Below are 27,344 nucleotides of genomic sequence, written 5' to 3'. Positions count from 1 at the left end.
ATGTCCTATGCTCAATAACACATCTCTCTATGATCTCTCCACGCGTCCTGTTCTGTGTGCATGAGCTGTTTTCTACCCCTGTGGCTGGGGCCCTCCAGCTCCGCAAAGCCGGATTTGACAGGTCTTAGACTCACTAATCTTGAGGGTTTTCCATCTTTTGTTTCTGTGAAGTCACTGCTCTCAATAACATTGTTACCTGAAGAGAAATTTATCTTGGTGGGTTCTTACTTTCCTTTTAAAAAATATCCACATATGAAGCTCTCAAACAAGCAGAAATCCACCGTCTAGTTTTTCCCAATAGACTGTGTTATTGGAAGCTTTGAGGGATAAGGGGAAAAGAAATTGGTTTATGAAGTAAAATTGAAGCAATTAAAGGATCAAAATCACCTTACATTTTCCTACAAAGACACACTCTGTCAGGCATGGACAGCCCCCTGCTCTTTCAAGTTTTATAGCCACCCCGTCTTGGCAGAAAAATTAGGAAGTCACTTGTTGTGCACAAGACTGTTGTAAACCTCTTTGATAATAAAAAAAGGATAAAAAGACAAGTAGGAGACCCGTAAACACGAACTTTAAAGGCCTGGAGAACAGCAGGCTTCCCCTTCTTCTGCTCCTGCTCTTAGCCCACAAGCCCTCAAACCATTTTCTACAGCACATTTGCTGCAGCCTCAGGGAGAACATGAACTATTGAAGTAAAAAAAATTCTAGCCTTTGATATTCTTCATGTTTTTTTCCTGTTTTTCCCTGTGAAATATGAACCTGCAACTGATTATCCCAGGGACTTGATCTCAAAAACATAATTTGGCCGGGTGCAGTGGCTCATGCCTGTAATCTGAGCACTTTGGGAGGCCAAGGCAGGTGGATCAGTTGAGGGCAGGAGTTCAAAACCAGCCTAACCAACATGACAAAACTCCGTCTCTACTAAAAATACAAAAATTAGCCTGGCATGGTAGCGGGTGCCTGTAATCCCAGCTACTTGGGAGGCTGAGGCAGAAGAATTGCTTGAACCTGGGAAGCAGAGGTTTCAGTGGGCCAAGACTGTGCCACAGCACTCCAGCCTGGGCAACAGAGTGAGACTCCATCTCAAACAAACAAACAAACCCATGCACAATTGGCTGGTCTTTGGGACAAACCCCAGTAAAGAGGGTCCCTCTCTGTCTCCCTTTCACTTCATCATGTTAGTGGAGTTGTTTGTCCTACTCAGCAGTTTAGCCAAGAATAGTGGTCCCCAGGCAATCAATCCTCCCTCCACTGTGCTCCCTTCCAGGGCTGGCACTTGGCCTCTGCCAGCAGGCCATGTGGGCTCAGTAGCTTGGGAAGCCCTTCTCTACAGGCAGAGCCAACACAGCTGAAGCTCATTTTCTCAGAACCCCTATAGCCAAACACAGTAGTGTTCCTGAAGACAGTAGGGTTTCCTTACTATTTGAATGCACTTGGGCACCGTAGAACTCTCTGATGACTATTGTCCAGACAGAAGATGACCTCTTCCTCATAGTCTTCAGGTTGAAAGAGCACAGGGTATGGCTGAGACCACAGGCTCTGACCCCACATAACTGCACCGGGGCCCGCGAGATGAGGCATAGGCCTTCCTGTGCCCTGTGAGGAGTCACTCCAGAGGAGCTCTGCCTGCGGCTGGCCTCCAATGCCACTGCATTTCTTAAGGCTTTGAAGGGACTTAATGCCAGTCTCAGCATAGTAAATCTAAACCCTTCACCCAAAGTTCATGTGTTAATTGCAAAGATCATCTGACTTTAAAATATTGATAATAGAAATGACAAAGACGGAACTTGAGTAGGCAACAACATGCAAGGCAGACAGGTCTTTGCATTCTTGAAATTTGATACTTAAGATGACAGGGGCAATAAAAGACCAGGAGGAGAGGCTTGCTTCAAAGTTGGTCTTATCAAAACACCTTGAGGTGTTAATGACTTTCTTAACAGAACTCCAAGGCTATAAACTGCTTTAGATCCAAGGATATGGTGATATTGAATGTTTTAATTGTGGTATTAACAGCCCCAGTTGTAAAAGGGAAGGTGTCACTCAAAGATGAGGGACAAGGCCTGAATTTTATAACCGAATTTAATTGGCACTGATTTGACGTTGATAGTACCTGGTTTTTCCAGTTTTCAGGAAATATTTCTTTGCCTGGGGGGAGAGGGGGGAGCACAGAAGGGAAAGGTGGAGGGAGAGTACATGATGCAGGAGGGGAGGAGAGGGTGCTGCACATCAAAAGGCCCATCTTGAATTTCCTGTGATGTGCTAAAACCCCAGCCCCCCACCACCACATCAATGCACAGAGCAGTCACACCTCTCCTACATCAAACCCCAATTACTACACACCCAGGGAAGGTGCCCAGCTCTCCCACTGCAGCAGTCACCCAAATGAGAAGGAAGGAGGCATACAGACACCCAAAGGTAAGAGGAAAAGACCCAAAGCCAGTAGAGCCCAGGAGGAGAAAATCCTGATGGGGTAAAAACCTTCTAAGGATCTTCCTGTCTGTAATGTTTTTCTCTCCCCAAAAGACCTGTATCTGGGAACAACTGGGTCATTTATTATCTTTTTTTTTTTTTTTGAGACGAAATCTCGCTCTGTCTCCCAGGTTGGAGTGCAGTGGCGTGACCTCGGCCTCCCGGGTTCATGCCATTCTCCTGCCTCAGCCTCCCGAGTAGCTGGGACTACAGGCACCCACCACCACGCCCAGCTAATTTTGTTTTTGTATTTTTAGTAGAGATGGGGTTTCACCATGTTAGCCAGGATGGTCTCGATCTCCTGACCTCATGATCCGCCTGCCTCGGCCTCCCAAAGTGCTGGGATTACAGTCGTGAGCCACCGCGCCTGGCCCATTTGTTGTCATTAAAAGATATAATCATGACACTTTGGACACTCAAAAAATAAATACCAGTACCCTTCACACACACACACAGACACACACATGCTTGCGTGCACACACACTTTTCTAAGTGGGTGGCATAGTTAAAAAATGTTTGGAGGAATATTAAAGTAAGTTTTTAGAATGTTCATGTAAAAGAGGCAGGTTGTGCTATTGAAGAGAGTCTTAGATCATTAAAAAAAATTTAAATGTTAAGCTGAACTTTATAGGATTTAATTAGAATGAATGAACTGTTCCTTATTCCAGACGTGCTGTTATTAAGTATGTTTTTGTCATGCTACACAGTTTGTGGAATTATTTCCAAACATTTGGGGTCTGTGGCTCTCTGGAAGGTCTTCTGATTAGGAACCTCAGCTCTCTGGGTAGAAGCAAGCCAAGGGCTGCTGCCTGCTGTCACTTAGTGAGCACTGAGTGTGGCGTAACGGAGAGTGTGGATTCCAGCACTGGGATGCTCTCCTGTGGACACGCCTTCAGCACTTCTTCTTTCTGGAATTGGAGTGCTATTTGCTGCTCCATTTGCTCAGAGAAACCTAGTTCTTTAAACAGCTGCCCTTTGTTGTTAAAAGATTATCCTCATTTCAGTCACTGGTGACTGTGGTTTGGTTGGGCTTTTGGAGTTTGTTGGGGTTTTTTTCCCCCAAAGTACCTGATTTCCTCTTAGAGTAGGGACTTTTATTTCTCATATTTTGGGTTTCCTCTTCAGTTTAGGGAAAGATGAACAGCTCCATGACCTGATCCCTTTTCGTCACAGTTCCCTGTTAGTGGGACTGCTTTGGAGCCGTGGCATCATGTGGCAGAGACTGAGACTTGAACTGGAGTCCAGATGACCTGGCAGGGGCTTCTGGCTGTAGCACAGGTCACCGGTGGACCTCAGAAAAGTCCTGGATCTCTCAGAGTCTCAGTTTCCCCAGGAGTAAATAAAAAACGTGCCCCATCTATACAAGCCTGGATGTTTTTAATTAGAGCATTTCAGGAGGTGGGAGGGATCTGAAAGACTATCTTCTGTGCTGCCCAGTGGGGTAGCCACAGCCATACGTGTCTGTTTAAATTTAAATTAAGTAGAATTCATTAACATGAGAAACTCAGTGCTTCAGGGGCAGTGGCCACAGTTCAGGCTCAGCAGCCACAGAGGCCATAGTCCTGGACAGTGCCAGGCTCAGCTGCCTCAGCTGATGGTTGAGGAAAATGGTCCAAGAAGTGAGTCCAGGATTGGCCCATGCTCCAGCCAGAGCCGACCCTACTGGCTCCTCAGTCTATGGTCATCTGCTTCTGAGTGTGTGGGTGTCTCTCCAGCCAGCTCACACTTTCCTCTTTCTGCCTTATCTTCCCACAAGAAGGCAGAGTCTACAGATGGAAGGGTCCCTCTTTGCAGGTTGCAGGCCCCAGGCCAGGCAGTCCTGTGATACCCATAGCCTGGGAATTGCCCAGAATTGGCCGCAACATTCTGCAGTGCTCTCAGGTTCATTCTTCTGTTGAAAGGGCTCCTGGCTCTTGCAGATCATGGAGTTTTATAAAACGGAGTCTCTAAAACCCCTCTTGTAATTGTCTTCTGTCTTGACTATATTGCTGTCCACACCTGACTACTGTGCAGGTGCCATCATCCTGTAATTTTACCAGACGAAACCATTGGGGTACATTGGGTAACGGGGACATGGGATCTCTCTGTATTATCTCTTACAAGTGCACGTGAATCCACTTTCAAATAGAAAGCTCAATTTTTTTAAATGTCCTTGTGCAGTTTTTACAATTCGAATCTTCTTGAATTTTAGAACGTCGGCTCTAGGCATCCTAGAAACAGATTTTGAAGGGCTCTTGAAAGCAAATTGAATTCTTTTCTCATAGTTGCTATGAACAGTTTAACAGTGTGTAGTGCGTGATCATTTTTGCTTACGTAGCCCTTTTACGTTGGCCACAGAGTTTCAGATAAGAATACATCATGTAAAACTTCAGATGTATTTTCCCAAAACTGGAATGTGTCTCTGTTGTTGGACTCGTGCACACAGTCAAGTGGTTGAAGCTAGGGGTGTACAGCAGTTTGCGGCCTCTGCAGGGCTGGACTGGGGACTTACAAGTGACAGTGAGTGACCTTCAGTGACGCAGAGCCACCAGATTTTGTTCAGTTCAATTGATCGCTGGTGCAGATGTCCCTGGCAAGGGTAAGACAAGTGCACAGTGAGCCCTCCTGTCCTTGGCATCTCTGTAGCTCTCTCCTTATCCTAGAACAACACTGGGATTGTCTGCAGATCTCTTGTTTGTAGATCTTTGACAAAACCATTGAAGAGTGAGGATCTTTGGATTTGTGCTTTTAATTCAGCATCACTCTGCTCAGTCTCTTGGACAGAATGGTACTGCGGTTGGTTTTGAAAAGGGTGTGTGTGCGATGGTGTCATGCCAGGAAGAGTTGGCCTTGGCATGGGAGGCCCTTGAATTGCATTCCTTTCTCTCTTTTTTTTTTTTTTTTTTTTTTTTTTTGAGACAGAGTCTCGCTCTGTCGCCCAGGCTGGAGGGCAGTGGAGCGATCTCGGCTCTCTGCAAGCTCCGCCTCCTGGGTTCACGCCATTCTCCTGCCTCAGCCTCCCGAGTAGCTGGGACTACAGGCGCCCGCCACCACGCCCGGCTAATTTTTTTTGTATTTTTAGTAGAGACAGGGTTTCACTGTGTTCGCCAGGATGGTCTCGATCTCCTGACCTCATGATCCACCAGCCTCGGCCTCCCAAAGTGCTGGGATTACAGGCGTGAGCCACCGCGTCTGGCCGATTGTGTTCCTTTTTCATCACTTATTGGCTATTTGAGCTTTGACAATTATCCCAAACTCTTTAATCCTCCATTTCATTACCTGTAAGACAGGGACAACACAACCTACCTATTTCATAAGATTTTCCTGCGAATGAACGTTGGTTCACATGTGTGAAAGGCTGTGAGAGCGTCCGAGCATCTCAGCGCAATCTGCAATGCGCCATCTGCCATCAGGGAACCCTAAGGAAAGGCTGAGAGGCTGCCTAGACAGGGCGCCACATGCTACCCTACCAGAGTTCACAGTCTCACTTGGACATCTTTGTGGATTTCCTTCTGTGATTTACACAGGGAAAAAAGTCTCTCCAGGATTTTATCCAAACTGTTAGATTCTGGGAGAGGTGTTGGGAGAAACAGCTCATGACTTATCTTACAGCTGCGCTTCCCCTCTTTGATTTCCCTGAACACAGCTAGAGTTTTTCTTACAAATATTAACTTGGAAAAATGAGAGTTGGCCCAGCTATGCTTGCTATGGACTCACTGCTTCCATTCATTTCCAGCACAGGGGCCATTAGTGTGAAGCAAGGGTCTCCCTCCCCAGGCTCAGGTCACGAGAGAGCAGCAGCAGGTTAAAAGACCCAACACATGGGCTGATCACTTCTCACCTCTTCCAGGAAGCCTCCCCAGGCTTTTCCGCACCCACCCAAGGCTGAGCTGAGCCCAAGGCCCCTTGCATCAGAATGAATGTGTTCTGACCATAGAGTTTCAGAAAAGAAAACGTAACAATAACACCATCTGCCAGTGAGTGCTTTTTTAATGTAAATGTCTGTTTTTGCAGAACGTCCATAACCAAAAGAGCAGTTCAACCTTCAGCATGTAAATCTGATGTAGGCAGCGGGAACCAGGAGCTCTACCTCCCTCTGAAGAGGGCCTGGCTGTGAGCAGGGCAGGGCAGCCAAGGAGGGTGGCTGGTCCCAGAGAAGCTGTGCTCCAATGCTGGCTCCTCCCTGCCTGCCTCCACTGGTGGTGGGTGTGCCAGATGCCCTTGAGTGAGTGAGGGGAGGTCAGCCTAGACTGGTGGGTCCTGGGGGCAGAGGCCTCCAGGCTGCAGTGTGTCTCCCCCTCTTAATTATTTAGGAGGGAAAGGACTGGCAACTGTTCCCTTTCCTGAATCTGGTTCTTTACCCTTTCATTAAAAATTATGGTCAGTCTTCTTTTTCTGTCTGGGCCTCCAAAACCCAGTCAGGGCCAGGCCCAGAGGCTCTGCAGCGGGGGCCACTCTGCAGGGTCTGCTCCAGTGCTGGTCGGGAGGTGGCCGAGCATTTCTGCATCCATGCGTGCTCACCCACCACTCATTTATACGCCTGGCCTCTGACCCAACAGTTCTACCACTGGGACTCTATTGTAAGGAAATAATTAGAAGTCTATCCACTGTGTCTTTTATGTACGTTGTGGCGTTCATTATAATAGTGAAAAACTTTGAAATAAAGTCGAATGTCCAGCCTTAGGGGATACTCTTGGTACATCCACATGGTGGAATACTATATAGCCATGTTCCTGAAGAATATTTCAAATGAAGAGGCTCATTAAATCATTAAGCAAACAGGATACAAAACTCAATATACGATATGACTCCTTATGATATATCTATATATCTATACATAGTAAAAGGAAATATATCAAAATCTCAATAATGTTTCCATATGGTAGGACCAGCAGTGATTTTTAGTTTTCTTCTTTATACTTTTACATGTTTGAAAACTTCTTTACAATTAGTAGTGTTTTTACAATCAGGAAAATATGAAAAAAAATGTAAAAACCTATCAGTGACAGAGCCAGCGTGGTGGAAGTTGTTGTCCACTTTTCTGCTGGCTGACGGGGCAGCAGAGACAGGTGTGCACCCTGCCCTGGCTCCTCATGCCCCCACCTTCCAAACATTCCAGATTATACTTATTCTTTGCCTGATCTGAGAAATTCTGGTATCCTGTTTTTGGGGGGAGCACCACAGGTGAACCCATAGAGGCATTCATCAGCAAGAGCGTCTTGAGAACATAGACCACCCTCCACTAAACATTCTGAGGCAGTGAGCACTTTTTTTGTTCAGACAATCTCCTAGGAAAGTGTCAAACCAGCTCCTAAAAACAGAGTTAAAACCTTGGGGGATCCTCAGTTTGAGGCTCTTGTGGACAAATAGAGAAACTGCAGCCCCGGGGAGAACTGGTGGTTGCCAGGACACCCAGGCCAGACTGAGCCAGGGCTGGGATCCCCACCCCGCTCCTCTTAGCACCCTGTACTATCAGTGGACCCAGCCACAGGGTGTGCAGGGTGGACAGGCCAGCACCCAGCTTCCCTCTTTGGAGGGCACTGCTTTCTCAGAGCCACCGTGGCCACGTTAGTGCATCATGACATTGACTGAGTGGCTGCAGACTAGCATGTTTTAAATGGAAAGGGACCATGTGGTATAGCACTGTGTAACATGGTCTAGGATGGAGAATGTTGTGTAGGGCAAGTGTTGGTTTCACTTGGATATGTGTGTGCTTGTATGTATGTGCGAGTATTTTTAGAGAAGGCTTGAGTTTCTTGAGAGACCTGTGGAAAAGCTGGTGTCTCAGAAGACATATCTTTCTCATTTTCAGCCAGCACTCCTCATCAAGCTCCTGAATCCCCTGTAGACATTTGGCTCTCATACGCTGGGGAAAGGCGAAATCTCCACTGCCCACGGCCCCAGCAGCCATTCACCGGGCATCCAGAGCTGAGTCCCAGGGCGCATGCCACAGCCGGCACTGGCCTGGCTGGAGCCCCAAGGGTGTGTGAGGCCCCAGCTCCCCTCAGCCCCATGACTGCTGTGAGAACCAGGTCCCTTGGAAACCTGACAACCTGAGTCATCTTGGCACAGGTTTTAAGCATCACAGAGAAACAAAGCATTGAAAGATGCAATATTCTGCTCATGAAAGACCCAGGAGGACCTGAACTGGGTTGGATCAGGGAGAACCCCAAGTCACAGCCCAGCGTCCCCTGCATTACAGACACTGGGGAGCTCTGATTTCTCTGCTGCATGTCTTGCTCTTTGGGAAAACAAATCTCCAACACCAGGTCATCTCTCCATCCACCAGGCTGTAAGAGTTCCCAGATCGCAGACCACAGGGCTTCATAGGCCATCATCAGCCCCTCTGCACAAACTTGGCCTTGCAATGGCCCCATCAGCTTTACTGAAGCCTTGGCTTTCCTCGGGCCACCTGCCACCAGCATGCCCCATATACACTCCATTAGTCACGATTCTAGCTGTTCCAGAGTCAGGAATTCACGGGAAGCCACAGAGAACTGGTGTTGATACACGTTTTTCTGGCTCTAACCCACTTTCTAAGCATGATTTTGGGAGCACAGTGTCCCGTTCTTCATGGGTGCCAATTCCAATGGCCTCAGCCACTAGCCATGGAGGCCACTTCTTGAGGACTTGCAGGGAAGTGGCATTCCATGATGTGGATGTGGCTCCCAGGTTCTCTCATGAACTGTGTTGTCACCTGCCCCAAACTTGGTGCCTTTTCCCAGCCAGCCATGAGCCTGGAGAGCCCACTATCTCTGGCTGACACTTCCAAGTGGCTGTAACATTCAACAGAATTCATTCACATCCAGTCACAACATTCAACAAAATCAGAAGCCTTGCGCTTGAGCTTTAGGTCTCCTGGGCCAGATATCTAGGGGTGTTCCAACAGAAGTCACCTGCAAAGGCCTGAGAGCTGGACTTGGGCTTCTTAACTACAGAGACTGACTCCTGGCTCTGCCATTGCTAAGGGAGCTAGCTGTCCCGAGCAATAGGGCGGCCATGGGGTGCCCTCCCACCGTCCTTCTGCCCTCTCTACTGTGCGTCCTGGGTCCAGGGTCTTGCCATGCCCCCCTGTTCTGCCCCCTGCCTGAACAAACGCACCCTTGTGAGCCTTCTGCCTCAGCTCCTGGAAGGCACTGCCCTGGGGTTTTTTTTGTTTTTTGTTTTTTGTTTTTTTTTTCCTGCTGAAGGAATAACTATTTCATGGTTATTAATGAAAGTGATAGCAATTCCCTGTGTATTTATCTTAGATTATGTGGTCGTTACGAGCTGAAGTACCTCAAGCAGCCAGTCTGCGGTTGATTTGAAAACAGGCGAGTCTCAACAGTGAGCTTAAGGAAAGGTGTCAGGTATAAATCTTGTCTTCAAACAGCCAGGGTGCATTCCAGACTTCAGAGACACTTCTTTGTATAAAGGCCCTTTTTTTCTCTCCCGCCTTTCTTTCTCCTGGGCCTGGAGGAGGATGAAAGTGCAGGGGTGTGTGCGTTCGTTTAGTCTGATAATGAGGGTGAGGCTCACGGGCATGGTAATTTGGCAGCTTTGGCACTTCCTGTAACAGTTTTGATTTTTTTTTAATCCAAAGGGCTGCTTAAAGACAAACATTTTTTGTTAAACTGCTGGTAGTTCATTTTCTGCAGGAACTGTGCAATTAATCTTGTTTATATTAAAGAGACAGGTTGCTTTTGTCAGCTTTCCTGCGCTATAATTAATAAAGATCAAAAACGTTACAAAAACATAATATTTAGCTTAATGCAGATGAGGCTAGGCAACAGCTGCATCAATTAGAGGAGCAAAAGGGGAAAGAAATACCCTTTGCTTTGGAATAACTCGGATGCATTAAAAAACATGGATTGTGAGGCTTCTCACCTCCACTAGCCTCGCCTGGTAGGCCCGGTGAAGGATGGGGTTTGGACATCAAATAGTTTGTAAGGCCGCATCAATTATGTTGTAAATGCAGTTGGAGGCACCTACTCTTAACCCACGTTTATCCAGGTGTGTGGCTGTGGATCAGAAGCATGGAGCCTGAGGATCTCTGCAGTGGAGGAGGGTGAAGAAATCAGATGGCAGGCAGAACCTGATAGAACCATCCAGCCCCCTGGGGGGCCTCCATGAGCCCGGGGCCACTTGATTTATAGCCCTCTATTTGAAGGACTGTCATTAGAAACCAAAACAGTGATTAGATATGCCCAAACAGATGTCATTACCTGCCCCCGACTTCCTAAACCAGTGACTAAGACCTTTGGCTTCCACATGAGAGTTCAAACAGGGTCATCTCTGCCCATAAACAAGAGGCGTTGCTGTTTCCAGGCTTTCATCTGTCTCACGAAGCGAAGGTGAACAGCCACCTGGGAGCCCACCAGAAATTTGGTGGAGATGCAGTGTGAGGGCTGGAACTGGTTGTCAGTGGCACCCAGGCCAGTTACCTCACTTAGATTTCAAGGAATTGAGGCCTGGGGAAAGTGTAGAACTGCAAGTCCCACAGTTACACAGCCTTTGCCTTGGCTGGGCGTGGCGGCTCACGCCTGTAATTCCAGCACTTTGGGAGGCCGAGGCAGGCAGATCACCTGAGGTCGGGAGTTTGACACCAGTCTGACCAACGTGGAGAAACCCCGTCTCTACTAAAAATACAAAAAATTAGCGGGGCGTGGTGGTAGGTGCCTGTAATCCCAGCTACTCGGGAGGCTGAGGCAGGAGAACCGCTTGAACCTGGGAGGTGGAGGTTGCGGTGTGCTGAGATCGTGCCATTGCACTGTAGCCTGGGCAACAAGAACAAAAACTCTGTCTCAAAAAAAACAAAAAAAAAAAGAGAGCTTTCGCCTTTCCTGCTGAGCTTCAAAACTTGGGATCCTAATCGTAAAAGTCCAGGACAAGGAGGGATATGCAAAATGAATCATAACCCAAATATTTTCAGCAAATTCTGGTGGCATAAGAAGGTGGCTGAGCAGATGGAAGGAACTGCCCATAATCAAGCATCTATGAGGGAAATTTCACTGTCAGTCAACCATCTAACCAGAAAAGCACCCAAGGGAGCCTTGTGCCTTGCCAGATTTCAATGCCATGTGTAGTTTCTTGGCTACCCAGAATGGACTGATAAACATCAGAACCTGCTGACGTGAGAGACTCTTGGTGCAGTGCTAGTGGAGGACATGGAGGGATTTGAGTGGCATCAGGAATGCCAGTATTCTAAACCAAATGGAGTTCCTACCTGAAACCAAACCAAAGTCATCTCCAAGTTTTAGAGGACACCTCTACAGGCATCATAACACTCTCATGCCCTTTAACTTCTACTCTTCAGAATGTATAAAAAGGGTATCTCCAGCCAGGCACAAAGATGTTCATTGCAACTGTATTTATGACAGTGAAAATTGGGAACCAGCCTGAAGGACAAATATTAGGGGATTGGTTGATTTAATTATGGCTTGTTCATTTGATGGGATACTTTCAATCCATTAAAAAGGCTGTTGTTAAGAATAATTAAGACAATAGGGAATGAAACAGTCAAACCACAAGTAGCCCGAACAGTGTTTTAATCTAATTTTATTTTATTTATTTTATTTTTTTGAGACAGAGTCTTGCCCTGTTGCCCAGGCTGGAGTACAGTGGCACCATCTCGGCTCACTGCAAGCTCCACCTCCTGGGTTCCCGCCATTCTTCTGCCTCAGCCTCCCGAGTAGCTGGGACTACAGGCGCCTGCCACCATGCCCGGCTAATTTTTTGTATTTTTTTTAGTACAGACAGTATTTCGCCGTGTTAGCCAGGATGGTCTCAATCTCCTGACCTTGTGGTCTGCCCGCCTCGGCCTCCCAAAGTGCTGGGATTACAGGCATGAGCCACCGCGCCCTACCTCTAATTTTATTTTATGTTATTGTATTTATTTATTTTTTGAGACAGAGTCTCACTCTGTCGCCCAGGCTATAGTGCAGTGGTGTGATCTCGGCTCACTGCAACCTCCGCCTCCTGGGCTCAAGATTGTCCTGCTTCAGTCTCCCAGGTAGCTGGGATTACAGGCAAGTGCCACCACACCATGTTGGCCAGGCAGGTCTCAAACCCCTGACCTCAGGTGATCTGCCCACCACGGCCTCCCAGAGTGCTAGGATTACAGGTGTGAGCCACTGCACCTGGCCTAATTTCATTTTAGAAGATATATATGTCTCTACAAATAAGGGACTGAAAGAAAATGCCAAAACCCAAAATTAATGGGTTATGATTTTATTTCTTTATATTTTTCTTTTATTTTACAATTCTTCCATAATTGGAAAATAATTATATTACCTTGCATTCATTAGCACTTACTGTTGTAAATACTTTATACACATCATCTCATTTAATTTATCTCATTAATCCTCACATTCTGACCTAGGTTCTATTAATATCATAATTTTACTGATGAGACAACCAAGGCACAGACATTTAGATTACTTGCCCAAAGTTGCATAGCTAGTAAATTAAGCCCAAATTTGAACCCAGGAAATCAGACATTAGAGTCCTGTTCTTATAATCACTACCCTTTAATGCTATTATTAAAATTAGTTGTGAGCGCTTCCCTCAGGGAGATGTGCCAGTCACTCATAGCCTGGTGGGAGTTCCTGTGTAAGATTATCTTCCCGGCCAGGTCTGGTGGCTCACGCATGTAATCCCAGCACTTTGGGAGGCTGAGGCAGACGGATCACCTGAGGTCAGGAGTTCAAGGCCAGCCTGGCCAACGTGGTGAAATCCCGTCTCAATTAAAAATACATGTATACAAAAATTAGCCGGCCATGGTGGCGGGCGCCTGTAATACTAGCTACTCAGGAGGCTGAGACAGGAGAATCGCTTGAACCTGGGAGGTGGAGGTTGCAGTGAGCCGAGATCACGCCATTGCACTCCAGCCTGGTCAATAGAGCGAGACTCTGTCTCAGAAAAAAAAAAAAAGATTATCTTCCCAGTGACAGCTGCTTGAATAAAGGTCACTGAGGGAATGTGACAGAGGAAAGCAGACAGAGACACAGAATTCAGGGACCATACATACCAGGCACAGGGCTGGGTGGGATGAGCGTTGACTAAGATGAAAAGAGCAAAGCATGTGGCTCACAATTTTGCCAAGGAGAGTGGGTGGGGAGCCTTTTCCAAGGATAGTTTCAGGACTGGTGGCCACATAATGGGATAGAGACCACCACACCTATCCAAAGTTTGCAGGGCGAGAGAGGGCAGGTAGGCTGCAGAATGTCTGTGAAATTCCTTTAAGTAATGAGCTATTCAAATAATAAGCATATACATTAAGATGGGAAAATGGCAGCCCATATATCTTGGGGTATAGGTCTTGATGTATAGCTATCTGCCCACACACCACAATCTGCTGCTGGTCTCCGGAACAGGATCTCCAGTTCTAAAGAGAAAATGATCTAGGACATAACATGGAAATGCCATCTATGCTATCTAGGTTGCCATAACTGCAGGATTTTATAAGAAGGTGGTGAGGGAATTGGTGGATAAGGTGCGTTACTTTTCCTCACTGGGTTATCTGAGAGACCATAGCAAGAAATCATAGAGGGGATAGGCTTATACAGAGAGAGGGGCTCCTTTAATTCTCTTTGTCTGACCCTAGAAGACTTATCATGCCTTTCAGGAGCAACCAAAGAAGTTTTAGGATCTTGGTAATCTTTAGTGTCTCACTTATAATATGTAGAAAAACATTATTTCAAAGGATATCCATATTCTTGATCCCTCTGACCTGTCTGGTTCAACTTCACTTGACCCTTGGGCACACAAATGGTGTTAAAGAGCAGAGGAAAGGCTCAAAGCCTCAGAACCATTTTCTTCTGCCTAACTGGCCTCTCCACCTGCCAGTTTTCTGGTGCTTCTTTATTGTTTCCATCGCCACCAGCCTACCTTAGGTCCTTGTTCACATAGCTACCTCCAGTGTCTCATCAGTCACATCCATCCGACAATGACAGCACCAAATTAGTCTTCCTAGAAAATCATCTGGTTGTGTCCTGGTCTACCAAAAACAACTATAGAACTGGACAAGTATGGGAGGTAACTGCAACTGTCATCAGGTATTGGACAACAAACAGCACAGGACCGTGAGCCTTAAGAAAAGTAAAATATACCCATTCACCCTGGCTTCCTAGCCAGAGGGAATTTGTAGACTGTAGTGAGGCCAAGCAGAGAGGATGTCTTAATGAGATGAAGAGGCAGAGTTTAGAGATAAAGTATCTACAATTTGTGGAACAGGATACCAGAGAAGAGAGTACTGCACAGAAGAAAGTCCCAGAAATCAGCATGAAGTTTACCGGTGGGTCTTGGCCAAGACTCGGCACAAGCTAGCAGACAACAGAGAACACCTGTTGTGGACAGCAGAGCTCAGATGCCTCACAGGGATAAGCAATTCTGAAGCATCGGCTTAGCCAGAATGCAGAAAGCTCAGCCACCACTTTGAGCTTTCAATAGAGACTCCAAGAGCACAGATGGATTATTTGTAACACAAAGGATAAATGCTTGAGGGGATGGATACCCCACTTTTCATGATGTGGTTATTACGCATTGCATGCCTATATCAAAATATCTCATGTACCACATAAATATGTACACCTACTACATACACACAAAAATTAAACGTTTTTTAAAAAGACCTCAGAAAGTCTATACTTCAGGAATCAGGATAATGCCTTGGAACTAAAAGCAGAAACATAAATAGACCAACCCTAATAAAGAAAAAAGTCAAGACTGACAGGTTTGGGAGGATCTTCCAGTAATTTGACACTTGCCCAGAGTAAAACTCAGTGCTATTTAAAGTAGATTTCACATATCATTACGATGTCTGGCATATGATAAAACATTACCACACATACGAAGAAATAGGAAAATGTGACCCATAATCCAAAAATAATGAATTCAATAGAAACAGACCCCAGGATAATCCGGATGTTGGAATTAACTAAGACTTTAGAATAACTCATATTAATATGTTCAAGGATTTAAAGAAAAAGTTGGATTTAATGAGTGAACAGATGGAGAATCTCAGCAGAGCAAGTGAAAGTATTTTTTAAAAAGGAAATCCTAGAAGTGAAAAGTATATCTGAAATGAAAAATTCACCAGAAGGGCTTTACAATGTATTGGAGGCTGTAGAAGAGAGAAGCAGTGAATTAAAGTCAGATCAATTGAACCTTCCTAATCTGCATAATAGAGTATTTTAAAAATTTCATCATGTCCTCATTATTCAGAAACCCTCCTCTCCTATCTTGTGTACTTAAAGGAAACAAAATCCTGATATTTAAAGTATTTTGCAATTAGTCACCAAACTACCTTCTACCCAATCTCCCAGTCCCCTTCACATGAACCCATTATTTAAACCAAATCAATCAACAAGCTGCCCCAGCACCTGTACCTCCCCACCTTGGCCCTTCCACACATGGTGCTCATACCTGAAATTCTCTCCCCTCTTTCAGGTCCTTGAGATGATATCAAATGCCACCATTTTAACCTTCTTCAATGTGCCTAACTAGCAATGTGATTTCTCCCTTTTGACCTTCCGTCAAACAAACAAATGAAAAAACAAAGCAGTAACAAGAGAAAAATAAAACATGCTTTTGCTTCTTTGTGAAAATATTCTTGGTCCTGCCTGCATGGTCTTTTGTCTTGGATCTAAGCCCTCTTATTAGACTGTAAGAGTGTCAAGGGAAAGTCTATGTCTTACTCATCATTGTACACCATTCAATACCTCAAGAGACCTTGGGAAGATCATAATGTCTGCCGAATTAATTGGAATATAACTGTGATTTGAGAAGATAGTCCATAACACAGGCATTGGTTCTGATATAGTGTTGCCAAGAGCTTTCACTGCATATCATAGATCTAAGAGAACCTCGTGGACTCGCAGAAATGGAAGAACCTTTAGAATGATCTAGTATAAGACCCTCATTTTACAGTTAAAGAAATTGCAGGCTTTAGTGAAGTGTCTTACCCAAGGCCCCATCCTGATCCAGTGCCCTTCCCTGTAAACCATATCACCTTTATCCCTGTGCCAATATCTATACAGGATTGTGTATAGGATTTGGAACAATAAATTTAAACACACATCTAAATTTTGACAAGAATAAGCCCCTCCCATCAAGCTGTGCTTTATATTAAATTCATTTCAGTTTTTCTGGAGTTCACTACGTGCTAGTACAATAATCACATAAGACATCCTGGCCTTTCTGGTCGAATTCCTGTATGACCTTGGACACAATGCTGCCCAGCTAACAGAAATAACTGATGGTTCAGTTCTTTGTGACCATTTGCTAAGTTCAGAGTTTCTTCAATACCTGTACAGTAGTGTGGTCATTGGAATTACATGGCATTGGCCTGGTCAAATGCAGAAGACCGATATTGAGACCCTTCAAGACACAGCTGCTATAGGGGAAACTGAGCTCATATAACCAGGAGAAGGGGAAAGATGGGTTTCTGAAAAAAGGCTTCAAGCTACATAGAATCCTCTCAGGATGCTGAGAAACTCCCAGGGCAGGTAGTTATCAGCCTGGTGAGCAAGTGCAAGAAATAACTGGATTATGAGAGGCATGCCTCACAAGTGGCCCCTTCAATATAGAAGCATCAGTGCTCCCAGATGCTGGACAATGGATGGCAGACAAAGGCTGCAGCTGAGTCCCCCAACTGGCAGCTGCCCTTGGGTGAAGAAGCCTGCCTCATGCAAGGTCACACCCCTTCCTGGGGGCCTGGTTAATGTGGATGTGTGAAGGCCTGGGTCCCTTGCTCCAGTTCAGGACAGCTCTGTAGGGCCATCCCTGTGCTGAGAATGTATTGCCCCTTCTGCCAACAGTGTTGATTCCAAAGCCTTCTGATAAATATCTTGCACTTACATCTCCAGCCCAAGGTCTGATTCCCGGAGAACTGGACTCATGAAGGGAGCAAGGGCAGGGATGTGGAGAAGGCTGAGGGCAGCTCCAACAGAGCAGAGGGGACAGCATATGGCTGTGTGTCACGTCCAGAATGCAGACTTGGAGCTTTGTGGTGTTCAGGATGAAGTCACACACTGTCCAGCTTTCAGCTACATCATGTCAGAATATGAACGAATAAACAATCTCTTGTGCTTCCCTGGTTGATCTGGCCTTGTCTGGCTCATGTGCTGTTAAACACCATCGGCCCTTATAAACAGAAATACAACATGCTCTACATAAAGACATCACATCTAAATTAGCCAGAGGCAGTGGCATGCACCTGTACTCCCAGCTACTCTTGAGGCTGAGGCGGGAGGATCATTCGAGCCCAAAAATTTGATGCTGCAGTGAGCTATGCTTGACTGAGACCCGCCTGTCAAAAAAAGAAAAAAAAGAAAGAAAGAAAAAGAAAAGGAATGGAGGGAGGGAGGGAGGAGGGAGGGAGGAAGGAAGGGAGGGAGGGAGGGAGGTAGGGAGGGAAGGAAAGAGAAAAAAGACATGACATCTTAGATGGCTGTCATCTGTTCTGCCTTGTAGGGCTGAACATGTCCCTATGTGTGCTGCATTCACTCTTCAGCCAGCAGGCCCCTCCTGGGGTCATAAGTGCCCCTCCCCATGGCACCATGCCCAGGCCGCACTCAGTGAATAAACCATCTGACAATTGATTTGTCCAGTTTGCTGCACCCAATCTCCACAGTTCCCCCTACTCCCATATACATTTGTTATTTCAAAAACCTCAGGAAATGAGGGCATTGGCCTCCATGAGCTCATAGAATCTTTGATTTGGAAGGGACATATTACTCGGAGGTTATTTTCCAGTCACATCTGCTTCTAAGGCACCATGAAGACCTAACCCATGATAAATCATTGGCTACATACCTCATCATCTTAACTGAGTCACTCTTTCTCTTTGGAGTTTGAGAAGAAATAAGGACATGCATGTTCCATATGGCACACAGGACTGGGGTTCAGTGGCCTCTCTGGTTGGATGATTAGTTCCTGCAGCCCCAAACCAATCCTCCAACCTCAGATGATTATGTTTTATGAGCAAGAGGGAGAAATCTCATCACATTTTTAGGAAAAAAAAAGATTTTATGATGCAATTAATTGCAAGTCATGCACTGGTTTGGAGGCTGTTAGCTAAGACCTGATGGCAGCAGGAAGTGGATGTCCCCATAGAGTTGTGGGACGCAGTAGGCAATATTATTCAGAGCCAACTGGAGGCTCAGGTCAAACACAGCTGTTTGTCAGCATAAGATGCCCAAGCCGTATCTTCCCACTGACTGAAAAGCAAAATTATCAGATATTGTGCATGTGAATATTAATGCATTGCTTTTCTCTTTGGAATAATTAATACTTGTATTATTGCTTTTATTAAAAATAGCCTATGTTAGCCAGGCTTGGTGGCTCACACCTGTAATCCTAGCACTTTGGGAGGGCAAGGCAGGTGGAACACTTGAGCTCAGGAGTACACCACCAGTGTCGGCAACATGGGGAAATCCCATCTCTACAAAAAACTACAAAAAAAATTACCCAGGCATGGTGTTTCAAGCCTGTAGATCCAGCTACTCAGGAGGCTGAGGTGAGAGAATCACTTGAGCTCTGGAGGTCGAGACTGCAGTGAAGCCATGATTGTACCACTGCACTCCAGCCTGGGTGACAGAGTGAGACTCTGCCTAAAAACATGTATGTGTTTTTAACTAATTTTTTTAAGTTTTTTAGTGATGGGGGTCTCACTGTCTTGTCCAGACCAGTCTTGAACTCCTGGCCTCAAGTGATCATCCTGCCTCGGCATCCCAAAGTGCTGGGATTATACGCATGAGCCACCATGCCTGGCCAACTCTACTTTTTAGTATATGATGATTTGTCTCTGTGTCCCCAGCCAAATCTCATCTCAAACTGTAATCCCCACATGTCCAGGGAGAGACCTGGTGGGAGGTGGTTGGATCATGGGAGCAGTTTTCCCCATGTTGTTCTCATGATATTGAGTTAGTTCTCAGGATATTTGGTTGTTTGATAAGTGTCTGGCACTCCCCACTTCACTCTCTCTCTCTCTCCTGCCACCATGTGAGACGTGCCTTGCTTCCCCTTTGCCTTCTGCGATGACTGTGAGTTTCCTGAGGCCTCCCAGCCATTCAGAACTGTGAATCAATTAAATCTCCTTTCTTTATAAATTACCCAGTCTCAGGTAGTATCTTTATAGCAGTGTGAGAACGGACTAATACAGAGAATTGGTACTGGTAGATTGGGGTACTGCTATAAAGACAACCTGAAAATTTGGAAGCAACTTTGGAACTGAGTAACAGACAGAGGTTGAAATAGTTTGGAAAGCTCAGAAGAAGACAGGAAGACATGGGAACGTTTGGAACTTCCTACAGACTTGTTGAATGATTTTGACCAAAATGCCAATAGTGATATGGACAATGAAGTCCAGGCTTAGGTGGTCTCAGATGGAGATGAGGGACTTATTGGGAACTGAAGCAAAGGTCACTCTTGCTATGCTTTAGCAAAGAGACTGGTGGCATTTTGCCCCTGCTCTAGAGATCCGTGGAACTTTGAAATTGAGAGAGATGATTTAGGGCATCTGGCAGAAGAAATTTCTATAGCAAAGCATTCAAGATGTGACCTGGCTTTTTCTGAAAGCATTCAGTCATGTGCATTCACAGAAAGATGGTTTGAAATTGGAACTTATGTTTAAAAAGGAAGCAGAGCATAAAGGTTTGGAAAATTTGCAACCTAACTATATGGTAGAAAAGAAAAACCCATTTTCTGGGGAGGAATTCAAACTGGCTGCAGAAATTTGCATAAGTAACAAGGAGTTGAATGTTAATAGTCAAGACAGTGGAGGAAATGTCTCCAGGGCATGTCAGTGATCTTCACACCAGCCTCTCCCACCACAGACCCGGAGGCCTGGGAGGGAAAAATGGTTTCATGGGCCCTGTGCAGCCCCAGGACTTGGCATCCTGCATCCCAGCCACTCCAGCTCCAGCTGCAGCTAAAAGGGGCCAAGGTACAGCTCAGGCCATTGCTTCAGAGGGTGCAAGTCCCAAGCCTTGGCAACTTCCACTTGGTGTTGGGACTGCGGGGGTGCAGAAGACAAGAATTGAGCTTTGGGAGTCTCCACCTAGATTTCAGAGTATGTATGAAAATGCCTGGATGTCCAGGCAGAAGTCTACTGCAGGGGTGAAGCCCTCATGGAGAACCTCTACCAAGGCAATGCAGTTGGAGCCCCCACACAGAGTCCCCACTGGGGCACTGCCTAGTGGAGCTGTGAGACGAGCACCACCATTTTCCAGACCCGAGAATGGTAGATCCACCGACAGCTTGCACCATGCACTTGGAAAATCCACAGGCACTCAACACCAGCCCATGAAAGCAGTTACAGGAGCTGTACCCTGCAGAGCCACAGAGGCAGAGCTGTCCAAAGCCATGGGAGCCCACCCCTTGCATCAGCATGCCCTGGATGTGAGACATGGAGTCAAGGAAGATTTTGGAGCTTTAAGATTTAATGACTGCCCGGCCAGGTTTCAGACTTTTGCATGGGGCCTATGGCCCCTTTGTTTTGGCCAATTTTTCCCATTTGGAATGGAAACTCAATGGCTGTATCTCCATTGTATCTTGGAAGTAACTAACTTGCTTTTGATTTTACAGGCTTATAGGCAGAAGGGATTTGCCTTGTCTCAGATGAGACTTTGGACTTTTGGGTTAATGCTGGAGTCAGTAAGACTTTGGGAGACTGTTGGGAAGGCATGATTGGTTTTGAAATGTGAAAAAAAAGATGAGATTTGGGAGGGACCAGGGGCGGAATAAGGTTTGGCTCTGTGTCCCCACCCAAATCTCATCTCAAATTGTAATTCCCATGTGTCAAGGGAGAAACATGGTGGGAGGTGATTGGATCATGGGGCGCTTTCCCCCATGATGTTCTCATGATAGTGAGTGAGTTCTCATGAGATCTGGTTGTTTGATATGTATCTGGCACTTCCCTCTTCACTGTCTTTCTCTTGCCACTGTGTAAGATGTGTTTTGCCTCCCCTTTGCCTTCTGCTATGACTGTAAGTTTCCTGAGGCCTGCCAGCCATGTGGAACTGTGAGTCAATTAAACCTTCTTTCTTTATAAGTTACCCAGTCTTTATAGCAGTGTGAGAATGGGAGAATGGACTAATATAATTCCACTTTTTAGTATGTAAAATATGTGTTTGGCCAGAGAGCCAACTTTTTAAGAATTGTTTGGTGCTGCCAATATTCCTGACACCAGTCCCCAAGGGGTTGTCTTTGTGCATAATTCAGCTCTGCAAGTCTTTACCAAGCCCCATGGTGTGCAGGCACAGGGCAATGCTGAACACACTCAGATATGTGTTGTCCCAGGTGCTACTCCCGTCACTGTCACCCGTAGGTACTGACATGAGTTTGGGGTGTATCTGAAGAGCCTGTGATAAAGTCGGGGGAGGCTGAGTATACCCAGTCATGCCCTGGTGCATTTTGTACCTGACAGCTCCTCACAGCTGCTGGGACACACTCCGAGCACATCTCACAGGGTGTGGACGACTGCCAGGAGGAGGGGCTGGTGTGTCCTTGGAGTCACCAGAAACTTGGCAGCCCTCCCTAATGTCAGATTCCTTCATGTCTGAGGACTAGTGCTGCCAGTACTAGTGCAGAGAATGGAGTCAGAAAATGCAATCAAGTCATTAGTTTGCTTGAACTGTCTTTTATTTTGAGGAAGGGTCAAATGGAAGCATAGGATAGAATAGGCATCTTCATGACAAAGTAACATGTGCCCCTGGCAACCCACATTCTACTTTCCGTCTCTGTGAATCTGACTACTCTGGGGACCTCATACAAGTGGGATCACATGATATTTGTCCTTTCATGACTGGCTTATCTTACTTAGCAAAATGTCCTCAAGGTTCATGCATACTGTAGCATGTGTCAGAAAGTCTTTCCTTTTTAAGGCTGAGTAATATTCCATTGTGTGCATATGCCATACTTTGTTTATCCATTTGGGATCCATGGCATTTAGAAATAAATAGATCTCAAATTTTTAGAAAGTTAGCTGCATTTTTATTTTCCTTTCATTTCCAGTCCTTTTTCCTGGTGTTCTTTGTGGCTGGCATTTAAAATGCAGACAGTGCCAACAAGCCCAGCTTATCCATCCTGTTCAGCCCTCTGCTGGCTCCTCTTAAGACCCAGAGACATTGCCCCTTTTAGTAATTTAATAAATTAGTAAGTCTCAAGGCTTTAAAACAGGTTTTAATTTTATTTTAGTACCAGCATACTCTAGTTCCAAATGCCTTGGCGTTGCTTGGGGGCTCTTGGCATGGGGATAAATAAATAAATGGCCTTGGAACTGCTGGAGTAGTGAAATGTGTAATGAAACACCTAATAAAAGATGTCTTTAAAGATTACATGCTTGGACTCAGTGGCATAGCATCCCATTGGCCCCTGGAATATACAGTGCCCCAGGACGGGGAGCTCGCCCCCACCCAAGCTGGGCTTGGCTGAGTGCCCTATAGCTGTTGCTCCCCACACAGGATCGAGCTTCCTGAGCTGCCTCACGGACAGGCAGCGCCCACATACATAGTCACAACTCCTTTGCGCATTCAAGGGCAGAAAGCACCAGACTGTACAATGCAAGCCAGACAGCAGGGGGCAACTTTTTCAAATCACCAGGCTGGTATAATACGGTGATCACTGAAACCTTGCCCTTTGCACCACGGGAAACATCCAAGCAGGGACACCCTAGGCCTTCTGCTCATGTCAAAGGGCTCAAAGCACCTCCCCGGCGTCAGTTCCTCTGGGACCTGCAGGTGGCGGCGACCATAGCTCCTGGCCTGGGATTAGAAGCTTGGCCTCTGCGGTCAGCTCTCTGGCTCAGCCTTCTCCCTTGACTCTGTGACCTCAGGAAGGTCTGGGACCGGCTCTGTGCCACAGCTCCCTCCTCTGCACGGTGGGGGTGCTGCAGCCCCTCCCTCCCAGGCCCAGACACCAGGACCCAGGGCCTCTCCTTGTTTTGCTGCCTTTGCCCACCCTATCCCCCACCCTGGCACTTAGCCCAGCAGGGCTTCGTAAGGTCTGCTGAGGGCAGGAATGTGGGCCAGGTCTGCTTGTGAAGGAGCCCATTATCAATCCAGGAGAGCCTGCTTCACCCACAGCCAGATTAACAGCCCCATGAGGTTAGAGGCAACAGCATTGGCTCCATGGCCATTGTTGCCGCAGCCATAGTCAAACTATTTTAAATTATCTGAAAGAATATACCATTCCTGGGCCGGGCACGGTGGTTCACGCCTGTAATCCCAGCACTTTGGGAGGCCAAGGCGGGTGGATTACCTGAGGTCAGGAGTTCAGGACCAGCCCCGCCAACATGGTGAAACCCCGTCTCTACTAAAAATACAAAAATTTGCCAGGCATGTTGGTACAGCCCTGTAATCCCAGCTACTTGGGAGACTGAGGCAGGAGAATTGCCTGAGCCCAGGAGGCAGAGGTTGCAGTGAGCCGAGATCGTGCCACTGCACTCCAGCCTGGCTGACAGAGCGAGACTCTGTCTCAAAAAAAAGAATATACCATTCCTGCCGAACAGAGACAGAAACAGGAACAGAGTGTTTGCTCCTACGTGGCTGGATAGCAATTGCCTGTGTACATTCCTGAGAAACCACAATCTACATCAAGCCTTTTACATTCAAAACACTTCCACATGCATTCACCTCAGTTTACCCTCTGAGAAATGAGTGAGCAGGAAAACCTGTCTCCCTGTTTTGGAAGCAACGTAACTGAGGTGCAGTGGGTGGAAATGGTATGCAAGGTTATAGGCTCAGAGGAATTCTAGTCTCTGCTCAGCCCCGGGCTGGCATCCAGCCCTCTGCCCCAGCCTGAGGTGTGCTGCGGAGCAACACAGAGCATCCTGGAGAAAGGAGGGGTGCTCAGCCCCATGGATTCATCTCCCCCAAACTGGAGAGCAGACACCAGCCACCAAGAAAGAGCCAAGAAAGGATGGCTGCTGTTACTCAACACACCAGGCCACGGAAAATACGCGGAGTCTTCGCTCTGGACATTCTGTTGTGCTCGGAAGTGAGTCCTCCCAAGCCCGTGGTGACTGCCCCATGTCACACTGGTTCTGGATAATTCGGACTAGTCACCACCTGCCCCAGCAATCTCTTTTTCAAAAAGTTTGTCCAGGGCTTCGGTAGTAACATCAGCTCTTTCACCTTGGAAAAAAGGCACAGGGTAGAGAGATGAATACGGTGTGATTGCAGTTTAATCTGTATCCCATTCATACATAATTTAACTATATAAAGAATGAGGTGAGCCAGAAATGAAAGGTTTTACTCTGATCCCCAAGCTCTGAGGGATAGAAAGCCTCCCCTCTGTTTCTCCCAGGGTGCAGCAGAGCCCTTTGGAGTCGGAGCAGACCCGTCTCAGGTGCTCTAGCTAGGTACCTCTGCTGAGCTTGCCCTTCTCAAGGCCTTCCCGTTACTGTACTTGAAAAGAGAATGACGAAGAAACGAATTCTCTTTCAAACCGGTAGAACAAGACCCTGAGTTTGACAGGAAGGATCCAAATTTATGAGTTCTTTGCTTCATGCTGGGACTCGAATGTAAGGGAGGGAAAAAAAGCCCACTCTGAAAGGGACATGTAATGGTTATTTATAGCCCTGCACCATGCGGGTCACCTGCCCGGTGAAACGCCATCTGTGCCGGGTTACCTGCACGTCAGCGAAGGGGCCGGGAAGGCATGGTCTAATCCCAGGATTAGGAGCAGGGAGAAAATCCATCTATTGAATCGTTCAAAACAAACAAACAAACAAAAATCCTACCCGCTCAAACTTAAAAGACTGGGAGCCTGAAAATGTTTTTGTTGCTGCTGTTGAGTTTTCTTAGCGCGCCTCCTCCTGAAGTTCTCAGGGCACGAACCTTCGTGAGAGTCCAGATGGCCAGGGTGGTGCCTGGGAGCGAAGCTGGCTTCGTGGTAAAAGGAGAGGCGGGAACAGGAACGCGCTGGAACCGCAGGGCTCCCGCCGTCTTGAAAGGCCTCTGGCGTGGAAAGCAGGTGGCGGAACCGCCCGCCTCACGGCCTCACTCAGCGCAGACTCACAAAATGAAGGCACCATTTATGTCTTCTAGAACGGGAGGGAGACGGGGACGCTGGCCCCTGCCGTCGCCGTGGTTCATCGTGGTTCACCTGGCCTCCCCGGGAACTTGCCAACTGCCACAGGTCCACAGGGGTGGGATGAAACCAAGTCCATGCATCCACGCCCAGGCCCCTTGACTCGCTTGGAGCCCTTCCTCCCCTCAGCCCCAGCCATCGCCAGCCTTTCTCTTGGCTCCCAGACCTCTGTTCCCAAAGCTGTGTAGAAGTGTCGAAAGTTGAGTAGATCCGGCATTGTGCCTCGGCTCTCCCACCTCTGTCTGTGTGACCTTAGCAAGTCGCTCACCCTCTCTGAGCCGCCATTGACTCCATGTGTTATGTGGGGAGTAGTGAGTGCCTCCCTTGCAATGCTGGGGAGGTTTAGTGACACGTCTGGCGCTGGATAGGCCCTTCACGAATATGCTCAGCAGGCTGAGAGATGGGGCCTCTGCCCCCAGCACACACACCTGCAGGTCCACTTCCAAACACAGGTTCCGGAAGAAGCCCAGCGAACTTTCTCTGAGGCACCTGTGGAGTTTCCATCACACAAGGGGCACCTGAAAGGCAGCCACCTTCCCCAGCCAGCAGGGAACCGTGGCATGGACAGGCCTCTCTGTGCAGCAGAGCTTTGTCAGCTGTGACCTGATAAGCTCCCACCTGCTGTCGGGCACTGGCCTCCTTGGGCATACACGTTCACTGAGGCTGGGAAGAGGCTGCTGGGACCAGGGCAGAAGTGCCCTTGCGTAGTGAGGGCCTCACACATGGGCTGTTTGCTTCTCCTCTGAGCCAATTCTGTGTGCGAGCATAATACACATCCTAGGAGAGAAGGCTTGGGTTGAGGGTGATTATTTATAATGGCAGTCAGGTTGTTGTAAGACACCATCTTTTGGAAGTGACTTGTTGAGAACTAGTCCCTGGGTGCCTCTGGGCCAAGGAGATCGTTTTTCTTCTCCTTCTACTCTTCCCTGTTGGCCATGCCCCCAGCTGGTGCAGAGGACCCTCAGAGCTGAGTGTAAGTTACCCATGGCAGCTGCCAGCTGGTCAGGAAGGGTCGCCAGGAAGCCCCTCAAAGGGAACAGCTCAGGGGAAGCTGTTTGGAAGCTCAGTGCCTCCGCCTTGCCCTGGTGACTGGGAGGAAGGCTGTGAGCTACCAGGACTCTCCTCTGGCCAGAGCAGATTCAGACAAAAGCCAGGGGCAGCCCCTTTGGGAACCTGCCTCACGTTTGAGTCACCGACATCAAAAGCAAGGTCAGGACTGCCCAGGCCCAGAAAACAACCAAAAACCATTTTGCAAATGTAGTCTTAGCAAAAACAAATGGAATGGGCAAATGGAGAAACATTGTGGTTTACGAATGCAGTGGAATACGATTCGGCAATAAAAAGGACTAAAGTCCTAATTCCCACAACGCAGACGCATCACAGGTATTATATTCAGTGAAAGAAACCAGCTGCCCGATTCCATGTATATGAAGATCTAGAACAGGCAAAATCGGTTTAAATTTATAGTGATGACCGGTGACAGCCCAGCGTGGGGCAGATTGATGATCAAGGGCGCAAGAGATGCTCTGGAAGAGATGGGCTCTGTATCAAGCCACAGGGGGTGTATATACGTTATCAAAGTCTCCCACCTGTAACTGGAAAATGTGAAGCTTATTGCAAGTTAATTACAACTCAATAAACGTGATTAGTTTTAAAACTATCATCTGAGCAATAAGAATACAAAAATCTGTGCCACTAATCAGGACATCAACTTGTAGGTTCTTGGGGAACATGCAGAGTCTGAGAACACCACTCTCATCATTTTGCACTGTTGCCCCTGGAAGCCTGCCCCGTTCAGACCCACGTCATCGCGTGGTGTGACG

General features: G+C 47.1%; 2 protein-coding genes across 3 annotated transcripts in view, besides 1 other annotated feature; one reads left to right on the top strand and one right to left on the bottom strand.

Annotated features, from left to right (window-relative positions):
• The window catches only part of RANBP2 (RAN binding protein 2), a 1,122,820-nt gene that overhangs the window by 874,264 nt on the left and 221,212 nt on the right, over window positions 1-27,344 (bottom strand). The window lies entirely within an intron of this gene.
• The window catches only part of EDAR (ectodysplasin A receptor), a 94,750-nt gene that overhangs the window by 21,183 nt on the left and 46,223 nt on the right, over window positions 1-27,344 (top strand). The window lies entirely within an intron of this gene.
• Window positions 9,877-11,076: an enhancer, noted in NCBI's record as "BRD4-independent group 4 enhancer chr2:109573418-109574617 (GRCh37/hg19 assembly coordinates)". NCBI's record gives its function as "activates an origin of replication core promoter dependent on BRD2, P300/CBP, MED14 and CDK7 cofactors, and independent of BRD4, by STARR-seq in HCT116 cells {active_cell/tissue: HCT116}" and the evidence as "EXISTENCE:reporter gene assay evidence [ECO:0000049][PMID:35650434]".

The sequence above is a fragment of the Homo sapiens genome, chromosome 2 (genome assembly GCF_000001405.40).
Source record: "Homo sapiens chromosome 2, GRCh38.p14 Primary Assembly".
Lineage (NCBI taxonomy): Eukaryota > Metazoa > Chordata > Mammalia > Primates > Hominidae > Homo > Homo sapiens.
This window is presented reverse-complemented; position numbering and strand designations above follow the sequence as displayed.